This window comes from Homo sapiens, chromosome 12 (assembly GCF_000001405.40).
Source record: "Homo sapiens chromosome 12, GRCh38.p14 Primary Assembly".
NCBI lineage: Eukaryota > Metazoa > Chordata > Mammalia > Primates > Hominidae > Homo > Homo sapiens.
In genome coordinates this window covers 83,450,927-83,476,172 of record NC_000012.12, presented here as the reverse complement: position 1 = coordinate 83,476,172, position 25,246 = coordinate 83,450,927, and the positions used below count along the sequence as shown (strand labels likewise).

The window sequence follows — 25,246 nt, the reverse complement described above, 5'->3', positions numbered from 1 at the left end:
TATCATGGAAGGGTCCCAAAAACCAATGGGGATAATGCTGATTCAACACATAGAGGATTTGTTTTTCCTCCAGCTGGCTCTGTAATCAGGACAAGGCTATTTCATGTCACCATATAGCCATACAAATCAGCCACATCCCACAGTCTAATCAGAGAACAAGTGGTGCCCAGACCTTCAGATGATAAGATGGCCAGTGGTATTCACTATGACCTCCCCCTTGCCTCCCACATATGTTTGGAGAACTGAAGCTCCCCCAGTCATTTTTCTCCTCTATGAGTTGCATCCCCTAGCTTTAGGTTTATTCAATGAGAGCCAATTTGCATCCAAATCTGACTTATATTTCTATCATTTCTTTATTGGATTTTTAGTTTCTGCTTCTGAATAGTGAACTGTATCTGCTGTTGCAAGCTGATAAATGACGGGGAAAAAATAGATCCATAAGGTGCCACTGAGACAACAGAGGGGAAGATCTAAAATCACACATATATAACCCTGTTCTGTGTTTTCTCATCTTCTCTGCAGGTGGACTTCCTTTCTCCCCATCCTTCCTAAGTAAAACATAAAGTGGAATTTATTATTAAATCATCTTTACCTTCTGATAATAGCATAAACTGTGAGACCTCTGTAGAGTCCACTCATAAATATTACCCACTATTCTACCACCTACACATTCTGACTATAGGGTTCACAAGTCATCCTTTCCCAGTTGTTACATAAAAATGTCTATTACCAGAAGGATTGCCAGTTCTTATGCTAATAAGCACCAACTGAGACTTACCTGTTTTTGTGAGGCCTTTACTCTAAAATCAGCAAATATATCTCTGAATGCTAGCCAGTGGCAGTAAGAATACAACCTAGGAACAACCTTTTCAGATGGTTACTACTAGTCTACCTGTATAACAGACACTACCAGTGATATGCAGGTAAATGTTATACAATTAGCTTTCTGGTTAGGGGAGGACAGAGAGCACCATGATTTGTAGGGCAGTCGTTCCTCGATATCTGTGGAAGATTGGTTCCAAAACCTCCCCATCAATCCTAAATTCCATAGATGCTCAGTGCCTTATGTAAAATGGTATAATGTTTGCACACAACTTATGCACATCCTCCCAATATACTTTAAATCTCTAGTTTACAATTAACACAGTAAGTAGTCATTATGCTGTATTGTTTTTTATTTGCATTTTTTATTGTATTATTTGGTATTTTTTCCCAAATATTTGTGATTCTCAGTTTGTTGAATCCTTAGATGTGGAACCGTGGATACAGAGGGCCAACTGTATATAACAATTTGATAAAGTAAATATTTGTACCATGGCCAGCTTCGAGCTACCAATGTATTATTACTGAATGCAGAGTTGAAAGTGATATACACTGTCGGCTTCACACTAGCAGATAGAACCAGCTCCAGTATACCAATCTGGATTACCCATAATTCTTTTCTTCCTGGTCCATTTCTTTATCTTGGAACCTCTAAGCCAACTATTTTGCCTCAACGATAAATTTAGATGACTTGTAGATTGTGGGATCCCACCCCAACTGACTCTAACAGAATGTCTGTGTAAGTAAGCTTCTTTTTCAGGCAGGCTATCTCCACCTCCACCCCTACTATAACTATATGCTCAACCCACACCCCATTCCTGTAGGTTTAGTGGCAGACTCTGGCTTGGCCATCCCACCAATACATCACCAAAGAACCCAGAAAAAGTAACAGGACAAACATCAAGAATGCCAGAATATATTCAGAGTCGATTTGTATTTTAGGTCAATTAACTGCAAATTAAGTTAATTATTCACTACCACTTAATTGTTTTATGTTAATATAGCAAAAACAAATGAATTCATGTTATTGAGCAATCAGAAGTACTCATGTAAATGATGATATAAAGGTACACATTTTTGGCTACTACTTTTTATTAAATAACCTAGCAGGTGGTCATACATCTGAGCTTTGCAGTTAGTAGCCTAATGAGGTCTCAGCTGCTCTTGTGTAATTTGTCACTGAGCCCCTTTGAATATACTTTGAGTACTGAGTTTCTCTTCCGATATTATCTAAGTTAAAAGTAAATTAACAAGGATAGAAGATTAAGCTGGCTATTTAACAGGTTTAGTGGAATTTTAAGTCAACTAATTACACAGATGGAAGCCATCTGGTAAAATAAAAATATAGTAGAAAAAAATGGTTAAGATTTTAACTTCCTGAGTCAGAGATCTGTGTTTCGATCCCCACCTCTGCCAGTATTAGCTGTCTTATACTGAACAAGTTAGTGAACATCTGTTAACAGAGGTGGCTAGCTAATCATTACCATTACTTTCACTTTTGCAAGGTCCTGACTAGACTATCTCTCTCCATCTTTCTTGCAGTTAATTGCGGCCATCTGACCAATGCTTTCCAATAGAACATGAACAGAAAAGCAACGGATGGTACTTTGAGGCTAAAGCTTTTAAAAGCCAACATTTCTCCATTTTCCTTTTTTAATACAGGCTAAATTCAGATGCCAAGACAGACTCTAGTGGAGGGTAGAGAAACAAATTGAAAGAAGCCTGATTTCCTGAATCACTGGAGAGAAGAGCCTCCTGCTAACTTCAGACATCTCTTGAATGTATTGTCACTGAACTTTAGGGGACCTATTTGTTACATCAGTTTAGCAGGCCCTAATGAATACAGCATCTCTCTCAATAAAAGGATAGTAATACTATCTATTAATTAACTTTCTCTTGCTTGGGAGAAGCAAAATTCCACACTAGCTAGTTTAAGTTAAATAAAGGAATTTTCCATATTAATAGGGTGGTCCACGAATGTAGCTGGGCCTCAGGAGTCAATGGAAGCAGAAACGAGAATGCCATTAAAATCCAAGAAGCCCCCTCCACCTTTTTATTTATTTATTTATTTATTTATTTTGAGATGGAGTTTTGCTCTTGTTGCCCAGGCTGGAGTGCAATGGCATAATCTTGGAATCTTGGAAGCCCCTTTTTAAATCTCTGTCTCTCATCTCTGGCCGCATAATCTCCAGCAACCCTTTTTTGCTGTCAATTTACATTATTCGATTCCTTTTCCATGTAAATACCACTCCACAGTTTCTGACTTTATATACTCCAGTGTTCAAGAAACTTACATCTCTCAATTGCAACTCCAAACTCAAGGGGATAGAGCCTATTTGGTCAGCCTTAGGTCAAGTGTTCACCATTGGTCTATTTTGAGCAATAAGATAAAAAATACTAACATCGTTGCCAAAGACTCACTCCTATCTATAAGTGCAGAAGGGTAGTTTTCAGAGATAAGTGGTTAGGGTTGAACAGATTTCTTAAGATGAGTCCAGTACACTACTTCACGGGTTATCATAAAAGTTAAACAAGATACTCAAAGTCCTTAGCAAAGTTTGTAACACACTGACAATTTCATGTTACTTTTCTTACGATTGTTATTACACATTAGTTTTCTACTGCCATTACAAGTTATCACAAATTTAGCAGCTTAAACAACATCTATTTATTTCCTCCCAGTTTTCATCAGTTTTAAGTCTAGGCACAGTGTAGCATAGTTGGTTCCCCTGATCCAGGTCTCGCAAGAACCAAATCAAGATGTTGACAGGGCTTTGTTCTTTTCTAGTGGCTGATTGTTAGAATATGTGCTTGGCAGAAGTCAGTTCCTCGTGCTTATAGGAGAAGGTCTGTTTCCTTGCTAGCTGTCAGCTATGGGCTGTCTTAGCTATTAAAGGCAACTCTCTGGTCCTTCGGTTGGCCCCCTATGTCTCAAAACCAGCATAGGTGCATCAACTGTTTCTCGTGCTCAGAATCTCTTGGACTTCCCCTTCTATAACATCTTTCCTGCCTTTTCTTCTACCACATGTGACTCCAGCCTGAGAAAATGATCTGCCTTTAAGACTTACGTGATTAGGTTGGGATCACCCAGGTAAGTCAGGATAATTTTCCTATTTTAAGATCCATAATCTTAATTACATCTTCAAAGTCTCTTTGATCTAAAATGTAACATATATACATGGGTTTCAGTGATGAGAGTGTGGACATTTTGTGGGGTGGGGAGTGAGCGGGGTGATTCTGCCTACCACAGACATAGGCTGACATTAAATGTTACTACTCTGGACTTCTTTAAAGATTATGACAAACATATATAACTTAACTGCCATTGACTTTTGAATAGCTTTGAGTACTTTAGAAGTAATGCTAACAACCTGACTGTAATGATATTTAGATTATGTAAGCATATAATTTGAGTTTATCTTTAAATTATGTGTCATACATGTCTTTGTATGTGTTGCTATAAAGGAATACCTGAGGCTGGGTAGTTTATGGAGAAAAGAGATTTATTTTGCTTATAGTTCTCCAGGCTGTAAAAGAAACATGGCAACAACATCTGCTTCTGATGAGGGTCTCAGGAATCTTCTACTCATGGTGGAAGGCAAAGAGAATCAGTCATGTACAGATCATATGGTGAGAAAAGAAGTAAGACAGGGGGAAGGTGCCAGGTTGTTTTTAACAACCGGCTCTCAGGGGGATTCTTATAAGAACTAATAGAGAACTCACTCACTGAGGTGAGGACGGCACCAAAACATTCATGAGAAAACTACCGCCAGGATCCAAACACTTTGCATAAGCCCCTACCTCCAACATTGGGAATCATATTTCAACATGAGGGCCTTTGGAGTGGCTCAGCACTTTGGTAGGCCAAAGGGGGAAGATCACTTGAGCCCACGAGTTTGAGACCAGCCTGAGCAACATAGTGAGAAATTGACTCTACAAAAAGATTTTAAAACTAGCCAGGCGAGGTGGAACACACCTGTAGTCCCAGCCACTGAGGCGGCTGAAGTAGGAGGATCACTCGAGCCTGGGAGGTTGCAGTAAGCCATGATTGTGCTCCACTGCACTCCAGCCTGGGGAACAAAGCAAGACCCTGTCTCAAAAAGAAAGAAAGGAAAAAAAAAAAAAAAAGAGCTTTCAATATGTGGTTTAGAAGATCAAATATCCAAACTATAGTAAAATAAATGTTTTTAAAATTATAATTCTTCTCTTAATATATATCCACTGATTTACTTATTCATTTCACAAATATTTACTTTACGTCTTTACAGCTGCTTTACAACTTCAGGTGCTAGAGATAACAATGATAATCAGCACGTGCTGTGAATGAGCCTACATAGTAATAGTGGGAGATAAGCAATGAGTTAACACATGAAGGATTAAGGTAATTTCAGATGTTGATCAAACAAAGTCATGTGATGGAGAGCACCCAGATGTCTGAGTGGGCAGGAGGTAGTTCTAGTTTAGATTGTGTTATCAGGGCAGGTTTCTCAAGGACGTAGGGTTGGAGCCTTCCAGGTAGATGGCACAGTCAAAGAAAAGGCCCTGGGGATGAGAACCAGCTTGGGAAAAAAAGTAACCAAAACTGAGAAAGATACTATGTGAGTTCAGAGAGGGAGATCAAGACCAGATCACTTGCCTAACACTTTTAAATTCTAATTGTCCATATAGTTAATTAAAAATAATAATCTGATTTTAACGCTCTAAAGCTTAAAAACATCTAGTTCAAACTGAACTTCACCCAGTTGGTCTGTTTTGTTACAATATTTTTTATCAAATATAAAATTGTACTTAAAAGAGAAAGTTATAAATGAATAATTCCACCCAGGTGTTCCCAAGTCCACCAGTCTTTTAAAATCACTCTTTCCCTTCAAGTATAAATAGAACACACACTCTTTCATAAAAAGTTACCCAACTCCCATCTGTAACAGAAAAACCTCAAATCCTTCCTGAGAATCATTAGCACTTTTCTTCAAGTAAATTTGCCCTAATTTACTGCTTTTGCTAAATTTTAGTCTCACTTATATCTATCCTCTGACTCCTTTATTTCCTAATGAAGAGCCTATTTCCTTAATTTTCTTTAGTTGCACTCCCAGCCTTTCTTCCCCCAACAGTTGCATCTCACTGTAATAGACTGGTTTTTTGCAGGGAAGAAATAGGGGTTATACTGAAGTTATTAATATTAGGTTGGTGCAAAAGTAATTGCACTAGTACTTCAAACTTAATGGTCATCCCTGCTCCAAATGACCTTGGTCATTCCAACCTTAGGGAAGGGAATACTCATGCTGCCCTTTCAGCCTTCAACACTGCAGTCTGACTCCTTTATTTTCTCAGTATCACCTTAGCCCCTCTCACAGGATTGCCACAGGAAACTCTAAATTCTACGCATGCAAAATACAGTGCATCTTAGAAACCTTTGTTTCAATGACCCCCATAGCTGCCATGTCACAGAAGCCTTTTCCTTTGCGTTCCTAAAGAGTACTTCAAAGTATTTTTTTTAATAACATCAGTCCTTAACAGGAATTCTGCTGTTGGATTAATATTTTTCTCCCTGCCTTATAAACTAACACTTTTTCAAAATACATTTCTTTTTTTCCCGTCTGGCACTGACTTGCTGCATTATGTCATATGCGTCACTCACTCACACTTTCTCTGAGAAAATGTGCTCTATGAATCCAAAATGACAATAATTCACGGTTTCCTGTGATATACTGGAACTCATCTGTGAAATGTCTGTTGCTGAGAGTAGACAGACTGAGGGATATTTAAAGCCTTATGAGGAATAAAAATCTAGTTGAAATGTGTAAGATTTTTATTGTATTCAGCAACCCTACTTAAATGACCTTGTTAAAAAGGCTAAATTCAATTTTTAGTGAATAAATATCTAAATTTAATTAGTGGCTTGAAAACTTGGGGAAATTGTTGTCTTTGGAACAAAGTCCTAGAGTATGGTCTATGAGCAGTTTTGATTGTTTTGTGCATTTGAGTCATATTACTGTTTGGACACCTGTTTTTTAACGTTATGTATTCTAATACCTTAAATACATTGAAAAATGCATTATTCAGACTCTGATGAGTTATATAATAAATATCCTAAGCTAGTAAATGATGATTCTTTCTGCTAATCAAGTAGTATAAGTCTTTAAATAATTTGTGGAATTTTGGCATTACTTCAATGTGAAACAGTATATGACTAAGAAGGTGCAGTTTGTGGCTGGATATTAATTCCAGTTCTGTGCTTTACTAAGCTACTTTCTCTGTGCTTCAGTTTCCTTATCTGTAAAATGTGCAATAACTCATACAGTTAATGTAAAAATTAAATAAGTTAATATAGATCAACTTCTTAGAACCATGCCTTACACATAAGCATTCATAAAGAATTAACTATTTTATAATAATTACTATTTAATTCACAAGAATTGTATAGGTTTATGGTATATAGCATGTTTTGAAATATGTACACATCGTGGAATGACTAAATCAAGCTTATTAACTATATTCACCATGTTGTACAATAGATCTCTTAATTTATTCCTCCTGTCTAACTGAAGTTTTTTAATCTCTTGAGCAACATCTTCCCAATCTCCACCACTGACCCCCACCCCTCTGGTAACCACCATTCAACTCTGCTTCTTTGACTTTTTTAGATTCCACATGTAAGTGAGATCGTGCAGTATCTGTCTTTCAATGCCTGGCTTATTTCATTTAGCATAATGTCCTCCAAGGATTAGTTAGTATTAAGATATAAAACTATATTATTAAGATATAAAATTTTATTAAACTAAACATAAATGGAGAAATGAAAGTACTACTACTATTGAGAAAAGATTTAGTAGGTTGGCCAAAACCGACTATAATCAGGTGTCTATTAGACTAAACTTCTTAATTGAATGATCAGTTGTGAAGAAAAAAAATTTTATATATATATAATGCTTGGGAAAGTTGTGTCTAAATTATGTTATAACACTGTTCTAGGAGACAGAATCAAACACCACTTAGGTCATATAAATCTTTTAATGGTATTCAATTTTTACAAATTGTAAGATCCTTTCTTAATTCAGTTTTCTTATGCTTATTCCTTCAATGTAGTTTGTAAAATGAGTATTTTTTTGCATGTTTAAATCAAAATGTATAAGATTTTCATGTAATTCACTATTTTTAGGCCATTTAGAGCTTTTTCTTTCCCAGACATTTCCAAATGTTGGCATTATCTTTTTCTTGCAGGAATAAATTTCATTATCTTTACTTACAAGTGGCTTTGTCTTTCAAAAGTTATTACTTATAATATGAGCATTTTAAAGGTATGCTAAAATTTTTGAAATATTGATGGCTGATTTAAGACATGTTTTAGTTGTAGTTTCTCATATTGTCCATGATTATCAGTGAAGATGTGTAGAGATCAAAATGTTAAAACAATTAAAACCATGACAAGATAAAGAGCTGTATAACAAGAGCTACAAGGATAAGAGTAACAGCGACTTGTGCCAATCATATGTTCTCCTCCCTTCTGCCCACTCCATGACAAAGCATGACACAGGAATGAAAATCCTGGAATGTTCAAAAAGGGAGAGGACTCAGACTACCTCCACTACATTTTTGTATAGGTGAGGGTCCCCCACTCCAAAAGAAAGGTGAATAGTTCGAGTATGTATAAGTGAATCTCAGACTTTTTACATCTAGAGATCACTTGACCAAAAAAAAAAAAAAAAAAAAAAAAAAAGATCTTTTATTTATCATCTTCTGCCACTATTAAAGAGAAAACCTTATGTGGGCCTCATTCCAGAAAAATAAGTATTGATGTAGTCATGTTTTCATTTTCTTGTTTCTTTTCCCCTTCTTGCCTTCCTTCTTTCATTTTTTATTTGTTCATATGTCCCATAGAAACTTATGATCTTAAACACATGCCAGTATAACCCACATTACTTTTAAATGTCACACTGCCTTTCCCCTTTGCACTTTTTAAAAATCACCCTCCAAAATTACCTTGACTTTTGTGTATTATTTATAGTTTCTTCTCCTGTCACATAATCTTCTCCAAGGACTCTACCGGCATGAATCCTTCTATATTTTTCTCTTGTTGGAATAACCATATGTACACCATGAACATTCAAAATAAACATAGGTGTGTTCATACATGTATGAATTTCTCTGACTTTTAATATTAGATAAAACTCAGCAGTTAACCTAATCATTTGTTAATGGTTGATCTTGAATTATCCTTCCATTATTACCTAGGTTAAATTATTTACTGAAGTCTTCTATGTCTTCTTGGGCAAACTTGGTATTTTGTACTTTGAGGAGAAACCGTCAAACCTCTTTCAGGCTACAAAATTCATTCCAATAGATTTCCATGTAGTAATTTCTTTAAATTCTTGTATCTTTTCTGTGTTTGGGATGTTTTTATTTTCATTGGCTAAGATTTCTTTCATTTGATTAATGAAATGAATAAGAAGTTTGTTTTAGTATCTGTACTATTATATGTGTAGGACAGTTTTTCATTCATTTTGGCTTTTATCCAAGTTAGTTAAAAGTAATGCCTATTTTAGAAAGATATAATTTTATACATATGTATTATAAAAAAATTAAAATAGTCACATCAGAATCTATTAAGAGGGTCAGCATTAATAGAGTATTTAATGTATGATTGCATTTTACCAAAATATAGGTATATATTTATGCAAATTAATGAACCTCTGAGAATAAATGTTTACTTCCTTTATAATTATTTTTGTTATGAAATTATACTTTGGCATCAATCATTTAAGATTGAAAGAAACATTAATTTAAAACCATAAAAATCCATAATTTTCCAGAAGCCTTTTATATCCAGGATAAAATAATCTGCAATGCTCAACAGTCATGACTTTAAGATCAGACATGCTTGAAATAATTCTTAATTATTGATTTTGAATTGCAAACAACTAGGAGTCATTTTCTGTTTTTTCTCCATAAGAGAATAACATAAAATGGCATAAAGAGCAATAAATTTACTATAAAATGAAATTATGGTATCTTTGTTATAAGTCATAATACAGTATGTTGTATATACCGTGTATACACAAGATCTGTTATCCTTTAATCTTTATAATTCTAAAATCCAACTAAATGACAAGACAGTTTTATATTATGTAAGAGGCCGAATTTATTAAAAGATTATTAAACGGGTTCAGGTAAAAACCAACATACTCTTCAGATAGCATAAGTACATATCAAAAATTACTGTAAAGATTCAGTATGAAATGAAGGAGTTAAACATATCTTTGAAGATGTATCACTCACCTACAAACTCAGAATCAAAGTAAACCTTTATATGACAGAGAAAAGGTGGAAGAAAATAAGCACTGATTCTTAGAATAAGTGTTGAACATGCACAATTTTCCAAAAAATAAAACCTGAATTTAAGAAACTAAGATTATAAACCCTTATTAGGGATAAGCTTGAAGAAATACTACTATTTACTTTGAGATTACCTTTACAATCAAATTATTTCCTAGCCACTTCTCAGGCTTTGAACTACAAAGCTTTTATAGCTAACATAAGATGATATGCCTAGAATTTTATACTTTAGTCAATACAAGATCCAAGATAACACCTTCTGTGATGAGCCTCCTATGTCAGCAACCTATGAGAGCACTTGCAGAAGAAACGTGCTTAAGAAATGCAAGGACCGAAAGAGTATTTCTTAGAGAAAGAAAACTCCTTTGTTTTTTTTTAAACAAGAGCAAACACGCCAATCCTGTCAGTCCCCAAAGGCAATTACTATGTGTCTTAAGACTTCATTTCTTTTTAGAGAAAACTAATCTGCATTTATTAATCAATATGTAATTAGAAACGCTTTCCTCATAAACCACTTCTGATGTTTGTAATGGATTGTGTTAACTGTTTAAAAACAAAAGAAAGGAGGAGAATGAAAGAGAGGCAAGCAAGGAGAAAGGACAGAGAGGGCAATGGAAAAATGTCCCAAGTTACTTTGAACCTTGAATTGTGCCTTAATCTTTTGAAGCAAAAACCTAATCATTAGGACATTAATGTGATTCTCCTCAGAAGTAGAATTAATATTTTAGAAAACAGCATAATGGGATCTCAGATTGAAGAAAAGCATTCTGCTTAAATAGGAAGCAGAATTATAAAGAATTTATAGCACTTTTAATCTTAAATGATTGACAAGAAAAGATTAACGTGTAATTTTTTTACCTGGAGCATTTGAAACTAAATTTTGGTAAATCTTTTGAGGGTAAAGTGAAAAAAAAATTGAAGCAATTATCTCTTTAATTTTACTACAGTCCCAATTGAAACATTAAAACTTCTCACCTGAATGATTTCTTTTCAGAAATTAAGTTCTTCTTTTTAAATGTGTGATATTTATTTAAATAAAAATCAGTTATATCAAATGTTAGTTGTGAGAATATTGTATGGATTGCTAACATCGTTATTTTTGAGAATTCTATGATCAAAAAAAATCAGTTCTTAAAATACTGCTTTAGGGCTGCATATGCTAGTCAATTCAGTTATGCAAAAGAATTCCCATAGATACTTTAAGGACTTTCCAGTTCCTAATTTAGTGGCTGATTCTTGCTTCACAAATCACAAAAGAGAAAAACCTGTATCATCCACTTTTTTTCATATTTTATAATTTGTTGTATTATCCAAACACGTTCAGAATCTTATCTGTTTTGCAATTTTAAAGGTAATTCATAATGGGGTTGGTTTTGTTTGGAATTATTTTACAAATCTCCATCCTAACATTTTAAGTTCCCAATATCAAATTCTGCAGATCACCATGATGCTGTTCTCATAGTTCAAATAAAAAAACAAAATTTAACAAATTTGAAAGCTGGCACTTTGGTTAAATGTTTCATTGCCAATTATGAAGTTCTAACTAAACAACTTTTCTTTTTTTAAGCCAAGACTTCATCATAATTAAAGATGTTATAGAAATTCGACTCAGTGAGCTTAGAAGCAATTTAGGAAAGCAAAATTAAAAAACCATAAATGAGCAATTTGCATGTTTTTCTCCTCTATTTCATTGCCATGTGGTGGGAAAATAGACAGTTTATGAATTTTGGTGGTCTCATCATTTCTAGTAAATCAACTGACTGACCAAAGTCTCCAGAAAGTTTCATGGTTCGCGAAGTTTTAAATTACAAATTACAAATGCTCACATCATCCATCTTCCAATTTATTGCAGCTGGAGCGAAAATCTAGTTCTAAACAATTAGCTCAGAAAGTACTGGCCCCTTTTTGTTTGATTCCATCAGTATCATTCTTGAATGTGAATCCTAAGTATCTAAGCCGATTCCTTGGCCATTTCTCCAAAGGGTTCTAAATATTTGCTCTTTCTTCTTAGGCTGATTATTCAATGATAGATATTTTGACAGGCTTCGCTTACATTAAACACAAATGGTTCATAGGTTTTGTTTGTTCATATTTTTGAGATAAATGGAAAGAAATGAAATACCAGATAATAACCAACTGGCTATTGAACAAATAAAAGAATGTGACCTCAGAGGCATTTCCCAGTTTTCTGCCTACTGCTTCGTAATTAATGGCCTCATAGGGTCAACATAAAATAGCTGCTGCTTGGATTATAAGAATATACCTATTAATAGATTATTGTGTTCTCAGTTTATGTAATGTCTCAAAGCCCTTTGACACTAATGACCAATCCTTACTTCTTATAGTCTCTTGCATGATACATTTTCAATTTTTTCTGTTTCACCTTTACTGGTTATTCCTCCTCTATCATCTCCCATTGCTGAGTTTCTCTCTGTTTAAAATTGAACAGTTTACCTGGATATTATACTTTAATTACCTTTAATAGCTTTAATTATCTCTATGCTGACAGCTCCAAAACTATCTCCTGCTTGTATTTCTCCTTGGATTCCAGTCCTTCACATCCAATTTCCTATATATTTAACTGAATGTCCACAGGCATATTAAATGAGATAAATTCCAAACTGAATTCCGCAAACTGTTCTCCCAGCTTTCTGCAAACTGTTCTATCCTAGTCTTTTCTACACTTATGTGGTACCACCATAGACGCAAATTGCTTAAAGTGATACCACATAGGTAATAATAGTAGAACACTAGAAGTAATCCTAGACTTTTCCTCACCACCCACATTCAATCTGTGAGCATATCCTATGATTTCTGCCTCAAAAATATATCTTGAATATGTTTACTTTTATCTTCTCTCTAACCACCTTTGTTAAAACCCTTTCCAAGTCTACTAAAATAGTCTTCTTGCTGTTATCCGCCTGTATTTTACTGTGGTCTTCAATGTGGTGTTATACCGCAGCCAATTAAACATGAATCAGATCAGTTCAGGCCCCTTTGTAAAATGCCTTATATCTCCCCATTGCACTTCAAATCAAATCCCCTAATGTTAACCTACAAGTTATTTAAAAGTGTGACTGACTCTTGGCTGCATCTAAACGTTCTATATGCTCTTAATTACTATTAGTATCATTTTATCTCCTAGAAGTTGCCAGGTTTCCTACCAACTTAGAGATGTAATACATATTTTCCCTCTACCTGTAATTCTGGTCTCTAGGTTCTGAACATGGCTAGCTCTATCACACCCTTCCACTGTCAACTGAAACACCTCCTCAGTAAAACCTTCTCTAACCATGTCCATACTGGCTGTTCTCTCTCTACCATGGTTGTCTGTTCAATAAAGCATAAGACTTAAGAGCACAGACCCTACCCAGGCTCACATCCCAGCTTTAGTTTTGGCTCCTCCTACTGTATGATACTGGAAAACTCATTTGACCTATTTGTGCTTTCTGGTTCCTCATTCTGAAAGTGCCAGTAACAATAACACCTACCTCATAAATTATTAAGATTAAAAATTAAAATGAGTAAACACATAGAACTGACTCTGTCACCATTTTGTCAATGTTCAATAAGTGTTATAATTTTCTTCATAAGACTTCTCAATTTATTATTACTCATTTATAAATTTGCTTTTGTTTTTGTTTACAGTTTGTCTCCTAGATGACTAAGAACATTATTAAACAGGATATATTTGTGTGATTTTTTTAAATGTCATTGAAAACATTGACAAACACAATGGCCAGAACATGGTAGATATACAATAAATAATTATGAAACAAATCATGTTTGAATGGATTTAAGAGCTCCTACTTAAAGACACATCTAACTGGATTTTTCCCTTTGACTGTGGACAAAAAATGTAATTCGTTACCTTAACCATGGGTTTTAACCATTCACTGATAAATATAGATGCATTTGTAAGGAATTTATTATGTAACAATGCATTTTTAATTCTCAATTCACTCTTAGTAAAAATAAAATATTTAAGCCACAAATTTCTAAATTCATTTGTATGTCATTTTTTATTTTCTACTTCCAACTTCAAAAAAATTCATCTCTTAATATTGGCCTTCTGACACTTTTCCATAGCATTAGGGCTTTCATTGTAGGCTTTCAGACCACATCTGATCTTTCAGAGTCAGCAATATTATAGTGTGCCTGCAAAACTCATCAGACAAAAGTTTTATGTTACTGTTGTTGCTGTTGATATTGCAACATTCTCTCTCGACCTCTGCATACTTGCAGTCTGCAAAACAATGTTTTAGGCTTTAGATCACAGAGCTTTTTACTCTTTGTTTTCTTCTATATTTACTTTGAAGTTGGACTTTTGACCATCTCCTCTCCCAAAGTAAGTCTTAGGGTTCCTGTTCTTCAAAAGGACTAACCCCTTAGCTTTATGTCTACTGGATGACCCTTCTTCCTCTGGGCAGCCTGAAAACATTGGCTGCAGTCACCCCATACCAAGCCCTAAAAAACCTCTCAGTAAAGCCTCTCAGTGACTCATCAGGTCTGCTCAGAATGTAACACCATATCACTCTACTCTAATGTTTAGTTTTACTTATTTGATAAAGCAATATACTAGTAGGAGCTAGATGTCATGTTTTATTTTTTTAAAAGTGGCATTAGACATAATTTGCATCTTTCTTCATAGTCTCTCTGCCTCATATGGCTACGACGTCATAAGTCTCACTCATGCATGAAAAAGGTATCTGCAAGTTAAAGAAATATTTCATGTATTTAACACTTCATTATGTTGTTTGCTTTGGTACAATTAGAAAATCATAAGCAGGGAGTTCACAATAAAGGAATAAAAATACCCGTGAAAAATATAAATAGAATAAGAAAAGTAAACATGTTTACAGTCATTACAGGAATGTCTAATGAAACAATGGGATTCTATTTTTTTACCTACTTAATTGGAAATGATTAGTAAATGAGATCTGGAATGGACATCAAGTGTACAATCTCAGCAGAAAACTGAGGTACCCATTGTACATCAATATAGAAAATATGAAAATATACAGGAAAATTTAGACTACCTATATATATGTTAATCTAGCATTTATATTCTAATAACTTAAGTATCACATAAAGTACACAAGTTTATAAGGATATATCATGATAAAATAGTATGCTTTTGTGTGTGTGCACCTATCCAATATCCATTTACCCATCTTCCACTCCTAGGTTCATGTTCTTTTAGTGGGGCTGATTCCCATGCTTCAAGCATTGCATGTGACTTGCTATCTGAACGTTTATATCCCAAAATATATGGAAACCCCAAATTCTGTATGTTGAAATCCTAACCCCTAAGGTGACAGTATTCAAAGGTGGGGGCTTTCGGAGGGGATCAGATTATAAGGGTGAAGTCCTCATGAATGGGATTAGTGCCCTTACAAAGGACCCAGTGAGCTCCCTTGTCCTTGCTGCCAAGTAAGGACACAGCTAGAAGCTACCATCCATTAACCAGAAAGCAGCCCTCACTAGAAACCAAGTCTGCCAGCACCTTGATCTTGGACTTCCCAGCCTCTAGAACTGTGAGAAATAAATTTCTGTTGTTTAAAACCAAAATAAACCACACATTTTATAATAGCTTCCAGAATGGACTAAGACATGACCCAAACTTGAAAACTCAGAATATCACCTCCCCTAACTTGAGCAATTGATTAAAAGAAAGGTTTATGAACCCAATCAGACCCAAGTGGAATTAAGGTTATCACTTTTGCTTAAAGAAACAGAAGAGAGGAGCCTATTTTTCTGCTGGTTCCCTGGGACTAGACTAAGTCTGGAGCTACTGGCAGCCATTCTGGCAGTCATTTGGCCATCTTGAAAGGAGAATCAGCCTAATGAGAGAATTGGGTCCAAAGATGAGTCAAGACGAAAGATGGAGAGAAACCGGTTACAGATGACATTAATTGAGGCCATGAGCCAAACATACTCAAAGTTAGTTAAACTGATTTTTTGGGGGGCTGTGATGGCAAATAAATAAATTTTCTTTTCTATTTAAGCTGGTTTTGATTGGACTTTATGACATTTTAAATGGTATTTTAGAATACAAATGGAAAATGTCATCTCTGTAGAGAATTTTAATAACAATTATGACACATAGTTAAAAGGAAAAACAGCCATTAGAAAGAATGAGGTAGAGCTACAGTACTATAGACAGACATCCAGGCTATAATAAAGTTGTAGAAACGAAAGTTTATTATAGTGTCATTTAAAGAATAAAATATGTTCATACACATATAATGTCCAGACATATATGTAGACTTGTATATGTATAGAAAATTGACTAAATAATTAATAATGATTACTTTCATTATTTCTCATTTAATGACATATTTTTTACTTAATACCCATCTATATTATTTGAATACTTTACCATTAACATGTACTGCATTTACATTAATAAAAATCTATGTTAAAAAAATAGAGGCAGCAAAGTATGGAAGTACCTTTTCTTCATAGCCTCAAAGTGATATCAATCTTTAATAGAAGATGGAACATGATCTAAAATCATTTCAAATTTCTTTCTCTGCTTATAAATCGATGGTGTATATTATACAATTGTTACTCTATGATGCAAATTGAAATAGAAAATGAAGAAAAGTATGTCTTCATAGGACATTTTTTCTTGATTCTTTTTCATTTCTTCAATAGAAAGAGATGCATTTTTTCTTCATTTCCTTCAATAGGAAGGAAACAGGAAATGAATCAATAGGAAATGAAGAAAAAATGCATCAAGCCAAAGTATTTTTGTTTTTCTTAATATAGTCTACATAATTGATATAGCACAGTGAATAGACTTTAAGGTAGCCCCTGTGATTCCACCTCCTGGTATTCATTCCCTTGTAAAATTTCCTTCCCTTAAGGGTAGGTGGAACCTATGACTTGCTTCTAACCAATAGGATATGGCAAATATGATGGGATGTCAATCTTGTAATTATTTTACATTATATAGGAAAGGTAATAGAATGTAACTTCCATGTTGTTATGTAACTTGTATATAATGCAATCTACTCACTCTAGGGTAATCTTTTTCTCTGTCTCCCCTCCCCTTCCAAGGATTTTGAAAAAGCAAGCTGACATAAATCCTATAATCACAAGGAAATGAGTTTTACCAACAACCAGAGAAAGCTTGGAAGCAGATTCTTTCTACGTAGAGCCTCCAGATGAGAACCAGCTAAGTCATGCCTGGACTTCTGACCCACAGAAACTGAGGATAATAAATGTTTTAAGCCACCAAGTTTGCGATAATTTGTTACAAAGCATAGAAAGCTAACACAGATGACTTGAATTCTAAATTCCATGTAAAATTTTATAACTTTTCTCTTTATGTATTCAGATAAACAATATTCCTTACACACATTTGAAAACATATCAATATAAGACAGCTAAATATTTTTTAAAGTTACAACGTAATACAAATAGAAGATATATAAGAAAGCAAAATCAAATTATGTTTTCCTTTCAGAATTATAAAACCCCCACCTAGCAATGCTAGGCTCCTGACATAAATTACTGAAAAATAGTCAGTAATGAATTTTAAAGCCAAAACAGAAAGTCTTAGTCCCTTTCTACCAAAAAGGTATTTAACACATCTTAAAACAAAAATCGAGTAACCCGGGGAGGATAAAATAAATTTGTGTCACACCAAAGGAAGATGTAAAAATTGTTTGGTTTGCAGAAAAATCATTCAAAATCATTTCAATCCTTGGCTCATAAATAATGCAAACTTAATGAGATATTCTATCCTAACATGTATAGATGAAGTTCTTAATTATTTCAAAGGGGATTGTGCCTACATACCTGAAATTTAAACTTTCCCTGTAGAAAACAATAAAAACATACACTTCTTTATAGATATATTTAGAATGTGTTATCCCCAACTAATATTTTCTAAACTACACACATACTTAAACACTGAATTTAAGATATAAACTGAGATCCTTACCAATTTTGAATGGAGTTTAATCACATCAACCCACATAAAAGTCTCACATGAACACATATTTTTATGTGACATATTTTTCTTCAAATAAATATTGCTTCTCAGACTTTTTAGCAACTGTGGCAAAAACACTCATTGTGAATTTATTTTTCTTACAGCTTGTATATGTTTTCTTTATCTTGAATTGTCTGCCCAAGTAGATGAGAGATTTGAAAAATTCTGTCGACAGTGGTAACAGAGTCAGAGGTCAAAAGTTTCCAAGCATGAACTAAACCTAAACAGCAAGAAAAATATCAAAATGTATGCAAAAATACACAGAAAGGTTATTGATCTTCTAAAATCATACCAGATTTTAGAAGAAATACCAGAAAATAGCCTTAAGGAAATAAACCTTGTGTTTGTCTAATAAAACCCATCAAGAAGTATGTAATAATTACATCAACCCTCTTGAAATTTTTTTAAAAAGGCCAAGTCTATAGAATGAATAGTATCAGGCCAAGAAAAAAAATTCAGGCCCTGTTTCCAAGGACAATAATAGTGGAACAGACAGATAGTGGCCAGTCTAGCCTGGGGAATGCAAACCAACCAAGTAAAAAATTTGACAACTCAGTTTTTTATAAAATTAAACCAATGCTGTGTATAAAAGTATCCAGAATGAAATGAAGAACTGACTCATATTTTGATAATTAATGCTCAAAAATGTGAAATTTTCTGTTCCATTATTTAGGTATTTTAAGAAAAATTTACTTTAAATTTTTGCTTTATGTGACTATAATAGCTATATTTCATGTATTAGCATTTATACATACAAAGGCTGTAGAGTTTTACCAGACTTTATTCGAGGGTCCAGAGTACTTAAAGAGAACAATACAGGAATAGAAATAGCATAAACTATATACTTCAAATAATTTCACAGGGCTGTGTAAGCATTTTAAGGAATTGAGGCTTTATCCTAAGCCTAAGGGAAAGCCATCCATATAACCAAATTTCTGTTTGGAAAAATGTGCTCTGGTTGTAGTACAGAGAATTAGTTGTCAGAACAAAGGTGAGATGGTGGTGATATAGATGCCAAAGTAAGAAAATATGAATGTGCTATGCTATTTCACTCTTCTGTCCTTCACCAACCTATTTTCTCTGCTTCCTTTTCTCTTTGTTCATATTTTCAGTTCAAGTTTCACCCCTTCTATGAAACATTTCATGAAGTATCAGCCCATTCTGTACAATCAACCACTCCTGCCTCTGTGCCCAAACAGTATATGCTTTTATCATGGCCCATGCCATTGAAATGCATTTAGCTGTATATGTATATTCGTCCTTGTACAAATCAATAAATAAATTCTTAATGAAATTTATTTTCTGTCTCCAGCATCTAAACAATGTTTTGCCTTGTGCTAATCAAAAAAGTTCTGGTTGACATTTGAAATGGTTATTTTGATAATCTCTTTCTGTACCTTCCCTAAAGATTACTCTTAAGACATTCTGAAAATATCCATTTTGGCAAAGTTGTATGAGTTATTCAAGATTACTGTAATTTAAGTTGCTAACAAAATGGATCCTATCTATTTGTTCACCCTTTATTTCCCTGTCCTATATCAATTTCTGCCATCTAGTAGGTATTAAATATATTTTATAAATGTTTAAAAATTATTCATATTAAACTAAAATATCAGCTTTTCCCTTCCGTTTTAAAGTGTTGTCCACTGCTAATATGTGCAAAACATGATTCACATCTACTCTTAGGGATTTCATTTCTTTTGCTGGTCACAATATGAAAGCCTATACTAGGATATCCATCAATAATGGTGCTTATACTTCTGAGGGCTTAATGTAGGACAGGACACAGTTTCTTCTACTACCACAAAAGTACCACACAGACATGAAAAAGGAGAAATTATAGACTTGACACTGTGATTACCTCAGTCTAAAGGGAAGTCGTTCAAAATATTAAACTCTTCTGAGGGGAGTTGCCTTGTGCCTATTTCTATAACCTTTCTTCCCTCTCCTTATCAAGTCAATTCTACTCAGCTTTATCTTCAAATAAGCTCTGTCAAGTATCTACCATGTTTAAGGAAACTATACCCTTTCTCTCAAAGAAAATAATTTTATTTTCTGTTTTCAGAGACTAAACAGTCAAGGTCCATTTTTGGAAGAAAACACACTTAGACACTCCAGGCAACAATTGCAACATCACTACAATATTATGCAGAGAGGATCTAGACTCCACCACGACCTGTGCGTATTAGCGTCCTAGGGATGCCATAACAGAGCACCACAAACTGAGTGGCTTAAAACAATGGAATTTCTTCTCTCAAAGTTCTAGAGGCTAGAAATTCACAATCAAGGTGTTGGCAAGACCAGCTCACTTTGATGTCTCTAGGGAAGGATCCTTCCATGCCACTTCAGCGTTCTTTGACCTGTAGATGATCACTGTGATCTCTGCGTCCATCTTCATGTGGGTGTATATGCGTGTGTCTGTCTTTGTGTCTCTTTCCCTTTTAAGTACACTGATCACATTGGATACGGGGCCCCCACCACTCCAGTATTACCTTTTTATCCTAATCTGATGTAAGACCTCATCTTAGCAAATTATGTCTGCAACAACCCTATTTCCAAATAAGGTCATATTCTGAAGGTCTGAGAAGGATATGAATTTCAGAGGGAAACTATTCAACTCAGTATACCATTTTGGATAAACCTTTCAGTCTATGCTGTGGTGATGGTGCCTATCTGTAGTAGCAAATGGGAACTCTACTAGAGTCTTCTACGACAATAAATCAGCAGAAGTTTTAAATTATAGCATTAATTTTCATAACTTCAAAGTGAGGCTATTATCTTCTTACCCTAATCTGATATTATATGCAGGTGATAATATATGTAGACATTCCATACTTTTTTTCCATGTAGAAGCTATTGCAAAACTCCCTGTTTTGATATACAGCCTTTTCACCCCTCTTACCAGCCTTCATGATTTAAAAAAAAAAAAATTGTCCCTACATATCTAACAAGTGCACAAAAGGTAGTTTAGTAAAAGGCATGGTTTTCTATTATAACATTAATTAAAACACAAATGATCAAATCCACGATACCCCTATTGTCTTTGTTTACCTCAATGCTATAACAAAATATCATAAAGTGGGTAGCTTATAAACAGCAGAAATTTGTTTCCCACAGCTCTAGAGGCTGGGAAGTTCATGTTCAAGGTGCTAGCAGATTCTGTATCTGGTGAGGAACAATTTCCTATTTCGTAAGCATCCATCTTCTCATCATATCCCCATGTGGCAGAAGGGGCAAGGTATATCTCCACAGCCTATTTTATAAGGGCACGAATCCCATTCATGAGGGCTCCTGACCTCATGGCTTAGTCACCTTCCAAATACCCTTCTCTCAAATACCATCCTTTTGGGGGTTAGAATTTCAATAGCTGAATCATGGGAGGGAGAAATATTCCATACATTGCATCTAGCTTCCTGTCCCACAAGCATTCTAGATAAAATAGTTTCTCAATACATTTATTTCTACCTGTACTAATTACAATAGTTTCATAAATTTACCTGTCAATATCCAAACACAATTTTCTTTCATTTCTTCCTGTTTTTCAAGCCTCAAGAAAAGTTCAGGTACCCAGTGTATATGTTTACATTTACATCTTATATGTAATGTTTAAGGCTTTAGAGATTTATAAATCTTTAATTTTTATGCTTTGTTAATTTCTTATCATTTTTAAAATGTTTCCTCATTGCTTTCCTTGATGATGTAAATCATTAGTCTTAGACTCTGTGACTGCTTCCCTTAGGTCAAGGACATGGAAACTCCCCTAATATTTTAGGAGGAAATATGGTTTATGACAAATGAATATAGATACCTCTGTTTTATTTCTTTTACTCTTTCTGGTGATGCTCACAGTCATAATGACCTCATTGACTACAGAAGAATAACTTTGTTTCTGTACACAGTTAGTACAAATTCCACTCCTGAGTCAAAAAGCTTGTTTGTGGCCTACTTTCCTATAAACATATAAAGAGTTTAGATTACTTTTCCTGAACCTTGCTTATATATAAAGCCATATGTGACTTCTCTATACACATCTTGCCTCAGGAGATCTTCTTAAAGTGGCATTTTGTTATGCAGAAAAGCTTCAGAACATATGGAAGTTGGGAGTTTTTCTGACACTGCCCTTTTTCCAGATTAGATTAAATAAATCTAGGCCCAGCAGCAATCTATGGAGGACTCTACTATTTATTATTATTCTTGTAAAAAGTGCCTATTCATCTTTGTTTTCTGTCACTAAGCTAATTCCCTATCCACGACTAAACAACTCCTCCATCCCCACCTCATTTTCACTGTGATTCACAGACTAAGGAAACAACCTTTGATGAGGTAATTTTGCCAAAATTTAAATGAAGGCTAAACAACATATATTCCCTAGCCCTCACTAATCTATTTTAGTTACCCACTCAAAGCTCTGCAAGTGAAGCATGATTTTCCTTTAGAAAAACCAGGTTCACTCCCCACCAGAAGGTCATATTTATTTATGCCTTCAGCATTACTCTCCTTTATTAGAGTTCCTACCAACTTACTGGCTCCATAACATCACTGAAATAAATATCTAATTCTATGGAATTCTTTACATTTAAAATGTAAATATGAACTTATTGTATTTATATGTCATTCTTTAACATGCTATTCATAAAATTTTTATAAAATGATATTTCCAGAAAGAGAAGTAAAATACACTATTTCCTCAATAAAGACCAGGACATAAGGAAACTAAAATGTTCCTGACTACGTTGACTATTCCACGATGGAATTCAAGGGTAGAATTCTGGCTACTGAGAATAAATTCCCCAAGGCTAGAGCTATTCAAGCACATAGTACAGATGAACTCAAAGCATTCAAGTTGATGGAGGGCTGGAGAGGTGAGAGAAATAGAGTGATCATGTATGTTAGATCACCTTTAGATCCTGAGATTTTGTGATTCCATCATCTTCTATCATCTCTTGCATATTTCACAACACTGTAACACTCTGCTTAAAAACAAAGGGCAAGAGAAGGGGAAAAAACCCTATAGTACTCAATTTTGTTATTTTCATCTTCTGTCGCAAATGTTTAATTTTTGTAGTAAACCATATTCTATTGGATGTATTTTCTTATATAGTAACTTTGAACTTACTATTACTGACCTAGGTTGTGTTTAAGAATAATCCTCCACATATTTAAAACATTATATTTAATATGTTTTAAAAAAAGAGTTGAGATTGTTTCACAAATCATAGCAGTATTTTCTAGGTCAAAACCTGGCAGAAAATGGAACAAATGTTTGTTTTTCATTTCATAATTAAATCTTTAGCGTGTGTGATTTTTCAGTTATGTGTGCAATCCCCGAAAAAAGGCATCTGTAGTTTTTAGCCTTAGCACGAATAGTCTAAAATATCATTCCACTTTCCAAACCACCATGACAACTAATTGATCTAGCCAATTACTCTGCCCAATTAGAATTCAGAAATTCACATTTGTATTTGCCAATAATTTACCATTTCTTTCCTGCCAACTCTCCAATATTTGTAATTTGCTTTTATTTCAGTACTTTGATTTCAAGATTGCTCTTTCACATGGCATTTTTTTTAGCAACTCTCAGTACAAAGTGACAATAGAGACTGTCTCTGATTAATTGCTTCAGAGCTTTAAATTTATAATGTATTTTCGTCTTTGCTAAGGCACATACAAGATTAATATTTTTCTGTCTCAATTACATTTCTCCTCTATACATTTGTTTTTTAATTACCCAAGTAATATATGAATATAATCTTATTAAAAATCAGCATGTTACAGAAAATCTAAAGTCTCATTTACATCATCATTAATTTTACTCCTCAGATATAACCATTGTTATTTTTACATATGTAATCACTGTTATTTTTACATATCTATTCTATTGTGTGCATTTCTGTGCATTTACATCCATATGTGCACCCATAGGAAAACATGTATTATTGGTATATGAGGGTTTTACAACATAAATATTACAAATATCTTAGGCTTTACAACATGAACATTACAAATAATATCTTAGAAATATATCATGGCACTTTATTCTTTTCAACTGTTACATAATCTACAGAATGGATTATTATTCTCATTAACGCATATTTTTGTCTCTTCAAAGTGTTTATTTCAATAATGCTGTAGTGACTACCCTGCTTTTGGAAGTAGATGGTAAGTTTGTTGCTTGAGTGGATACCAAGTAGAAGAACTTCTGGATTATGTAACATTCACATTTAAATTTGAATTATTCCAAAGGGTTGTACCTATACTACCAATTTTTAACCTAATTACCTTGTGTTTCTTTTCAGACATCCAAAGAAATGTCAACATTTTTAAAGCCTAGAGTTATTTTTTTATGTCCAATCAAAGCTATTTTTAAGGTTTCACTTAAAATTTTCATTTTGTGTCTTTAATTGGTTTCTCCAGTGTCTCATTTTTCTGGCATCCCAAAACTGTACCCAAGTGGAGCAAAACTGTCATTCTCTTTTAATCAGATATATTATTTTCATTTATTATGGGCAATATAGGTTTTAGAAAGCAAATAAAGACTGGATATTCCTCCTCCCTGAACTAGAATTGTCTAGTTCAGCATTCTTGGGACTTGGCAACTCTTACTGCAGTGCCTCCTGTTGGTAACATGTTTACTCTTCCCCTACCACCACACAGGTCAAGCTTGGAGTGCAGTAGCTTCCTTCCTTATAACTATTTTGATTTCAAGAATTTCAGGCACAGCCTATTCTTTGAACAACTGTAAGAAAAACCTTCCTTAAAGATAATATCAATCACGTCATTTTACTACTAGGAGGAACCACGCACTATGGTTATCCAACTTATTTTCCCAACTTTCTCTCACATTTCCCAGGCACCAAATTATTTTTGCAAGTTTATTCAAGCAAGCCAAATTTGATATTCCCCCTTATACTTTAGTGCCTTGTTTGTATTATGTTCTCCACATATTTTCTCCTTCTCTCTACATGATTCGACTTCTATCTAAATGTCAGAGTATCTTAAATATTACCAATATCTGCAACTCTATTTTTATCCTTCTTTTGGCTTCCCCTAGAATATGGTTGACCTTTATTTTGACACTTAATATAC

At 34.1% G+C, this 25,246-nt stretch overlaps 1 long non-coding RNA gene across 1 annotated transcript; it reads left to right on the top strand.

Annotated features, from left to right (window-relative positions):
- The first annotated feature begins 3,740 nt into the window (after window positions 1–3,740).
- LOC105369874 (uncharacterized) lies at window positions 3,741–18,449 on the top strand. Its single transcript, XR_945150.3, has 2 exons — window positions 3,741–3,913; window positions 17,221–18,449. It is a non-coding gene; the product is annotated as an uncharacterized LOC105369874 (long non-coding RNA).
- Window positions 18,450–25,246: the final 6,797 nt, after the last annotated feature.